Here is a 669-nt window from a genome sequence, read left to right as displayed (position 1 = left end):
TAATGTTTTTTAACTTAAAAGGCCAAGATAGACCAGTTGCAACCTGTTTGGTAATTAAATTAGGCCAGTTAAACAGTTTTTATGCAAGACAGGTATGATTGAGCTGTTTATCAAAAACTGAAGGAGTATGATGCTTTCCTGCTAGGAACAGCAGAAATTTAGAAATTGTAGGATTCTGAGGAGCTAAAGTGTCAGATATCACTAATTCAATGTGATCTGATGGCTTTGATTTCTATGAGTATATCATAGCAGTATTAACAATGGTAATGCATAGTGGCCCCAAAATGGGAAACATTTCAAGTAGCAATTAATATAAGCCTGTATCATAAAAGGAAGCTATATATACCTTAATTATAGCATGTTTCTGTAACTGAGCTGCCATTCTACCACAAAGGGAAAAGCAGGGTGGTTTTCAGAAGACGTACGCTCAAGTAGGGAAGCTGGTAATGATTATTGCAAACTAATTCTAGAAAAATACCTTAAGGTAGGGAGGGGGTAGGGAAGCATCAACAGAAAAAGAAGTCCATAGAGAAGTACTAGATCATCAGAAAAACTGTAAAGTCTCTAATGAAACTTTGTAGCACATAAATTGTGTAAAATTTTCTAATACACACATGATCCTTAAATGTACAGTTAAGACATCTCTCTCTAGCCCACAGTAAAAACAAC

This window comes from Homo sapiens, chromosome 12 (genome assembly GCF_000001405.40).
Source record: "Homo sapiens chromosome 12, GRCh38.p14 Primary Assembly".
NCBI classification, from domain to species: domain Eukaryota; kingdom Metazoa; phylum Chordata; class Mammalia; order Primates; family Hominidae; genus Homo; species Homo sapiens.
This window is presented reverse-complemented; position numbering follows the sequence as displayed.